General features: G+C 35.1%; 1 annotated feature.

Annotated features, from left to right (window-relative positions):
- Positions 2,050-2,344: an enhancer, noted in NCBI's record as "tiled region #10301; HepG2 Activating DNase matched - State 5:Enh". NCBI's record gives its function as "activates a minimal TATA promoter and a strong SV40 promoter by Sharpr-MPRA in HepG2 cells {active_cell/tissue: HepG2}" and the evidence as "EXISTENCE:reporter gene assay evidence [ECO:0000049][PMID:27701403]".

Raw genomic sequence — 2,637 nt, 5'->3', positions numbered from 1 at the left:
ATGCTTACTCCTTCTACTTTTTTCCCAGTTCAGACTCTGGAACCAAAGTCTATAAATGTATATTTCAAACTTGCATTTCCATTTACTCATTGTAAGTGAGACTATAAACCTTATTTACTTAACTGATGCCAACATTGGTTCCTGTCTTTTAAATTGAAGTTTGTTCTAAGAATCAAATAAAAGAAATATAAATGAGTAAGTCTGGCACATATTTGGCCTTCTTTTTTTCCATCTATATTATGATCTCCATTATTATGAAAATCTCTATTATCAATTGATTGTTTAATCTTTTTTCTTTTTAGACACTTACATTGTCATATATGCAAGTGAGGGTGAAAAAGTGTGCCTATAACTCCAAACCTACTTCATTTCCTATAAGCTTACATATCACACACATATACATCTATGTAGAGACACACATATATATGCACATATATGTATATATACATATGTGTGTCCATAGGTATCTTTTGTTTTATATATATAATTTATTATATACCTATATAAAATTCAAGAGAGTCCTATTGTTAACACTCATTATTTCACATACTGTCCCACCTGATGCAATGGCACTTGCAACAGTGGATTAGTTTGGCAAAATAAAAGCTAATTCAAGTGTATTTTCCTAGTTCCCCTATAGTCTTACTAAGTAAATTTCTCAATTGGTAAGTTAAGATTGTCAAAGCTGTGAAAAGAAACTTGAGATTTATTGTTGCCCATTTTGGTAAATGTGAAGTAATTTTTTACTGCTACTGTCATCAAAATCATGGAAGGTTTTGGAGTGTGTCTGGGATGGAAACTATTCTTACCGTGGGGAAGAAGTACACAGTGTACTTTATGTAAAGTCTATTGCTTCAATTCTCATGCTCTGTCTTCTGCCAGAAAATGAGGTAGTTTGCCATTGAGAGGCTTGAGGAGTGCCTAAATGTGACAAATGATCTGATTTTCAATAAACGTAAACAAAATATGACAATGTCTAATCTAAGCTTTTAGGAGAAGCTTCAGATGAATATACTAGAAAAAATAACCCTAACAATGGTGAAAATTCAAGGGTATTTCAACTACATTCTAAGATTTTTCTTACTCTCTTTGCATTTCAATTCTCTAATGACATCATGGGTAATTTGTATCACATGTACACCAAGAACTATATGAATGTCGGCAATGCCCTCTGGCCAGTATTCAATGGTAAACAATGATGTAATATATATCATAATTTCAGTGTTATTGTCTCATGGAATGAAACACCTGTTTAGTAAAAAAAAGCGAAATAACTGGGCTATTGAATGTTTTGTTTGCTTGTTTTTTCTGAAACAGCTTGGCAGCTTAAGGAAGCGTGCAAATGAAGAAATCACAGAACTTCTTAAGTATTCACCCATATAATTTATATATGAAAAGAGTAATTCTTGAATAACTTTTAAATAACAGCCACAGACTGCAGCAAGACTTCTAGCTGGGTATAGTACCTCCACAATACCAATACATCAGCAAATAATCTTTTGCATACACTTCCTAATTTACATGATCCTTGTTTAATTCCTCTTGCCTGTTAGATTTCTAACTCCAGAGATTTCAACAAGGAAAGTTTGTAGCTAAAAATAGCTCAATAAATTACAGATTTCTGTAGTTGGAAATAGAAAAAAAATGGTTCAGATGTACTTAAATCAATGGGAGGATCAGCAGCAAGCATTTTGCAACACTTCACAAATAAAACAGAAAAATTGGTACTCTTTGTGGCAAATTATTAGTGATGGTCTTGCTCATGAACTTTACTCTTTTGCTAAATTGGGACTCTATGTGGGCGTGCGGGTGACTCGATGTTGCCCAATATTTTACTTGGCTGTTCAGTTCTCTAGTGCCCTGGTTGCAAGAAGATTCTTCCCTGTGACGGAAACAGAGTGCTGCAGATCAATGAAAGCTCCCTTTCTGGTATACTGTAGCTACCACTCCTCTGTTATGTTAAGGATGAATGGAACCTGACACACTGTTTCTCAATCTCAGGAGAGTCATATTGCCACACAGTTGAAAGGTGCAAGGAACGGCTGTGTAGAAGAAAAGAATGGAGTAGCTGTTTAGTCAAATAGCAACTCTTAGGTGACTATTCCTGTTGGGCTCCTAAAAGCTGTTTCTCTCTGGTCTTGTTATTGAATGTGAATGTGGGTCACGGAAGCAATGCCATCTCCCATTCACACAGCTCAAAGCCAAAGTCCAGTTCCTTGTTTGTCTTCCATGTAAACAGGACAAATTGCTTTCTCTGCATGGTGTAATTTCATTGAAACTTTATATTCTGTTAGGTAAAGGACTCTTATTTTTCCTTCCTATTCATTCAGCAAGCACTTCATGTCATTTCAGGCACCATCTGGTAACAAGTAGTATGAGGGGAAATGAACTATGCAATAAATATGGCTTACATTTATTGAGAGCTTCTTATGAGCCAGGCATTTCTGAGCTCTTCACATGTATTAACTCATTTAATATACCCATGAGATAGGTATATTATTATGCTTATTTTACAAATGAGAAAAGTTAGGCAGAGAGGGATTAGCCAGTGGTGGAGCTGAGAGTTGAACCCTGACTCTAACCATAGATGCTACTTTGTTAATTATAGAATGGCAGTTTGCTTTCATTCTAGGGGTT

Source organism: Homo sapiens, chromosome 20 (assembly GCF_000001405.40).
Source record: "Homo sapiens chromosome 20, GRCh38.p14 Primary Assembly".
NCBI classification, from domain to species: domain Eukaryota; kingdom Metazoa; phylum Chordata; class Mammalia; order Primates; family Hominidae; genus Homo; species Homo sapiens.
Note: the sequence above shows the minus strand (reverse complement) of the source record. Positions and strands in the feature narration are given on the sequence as shown.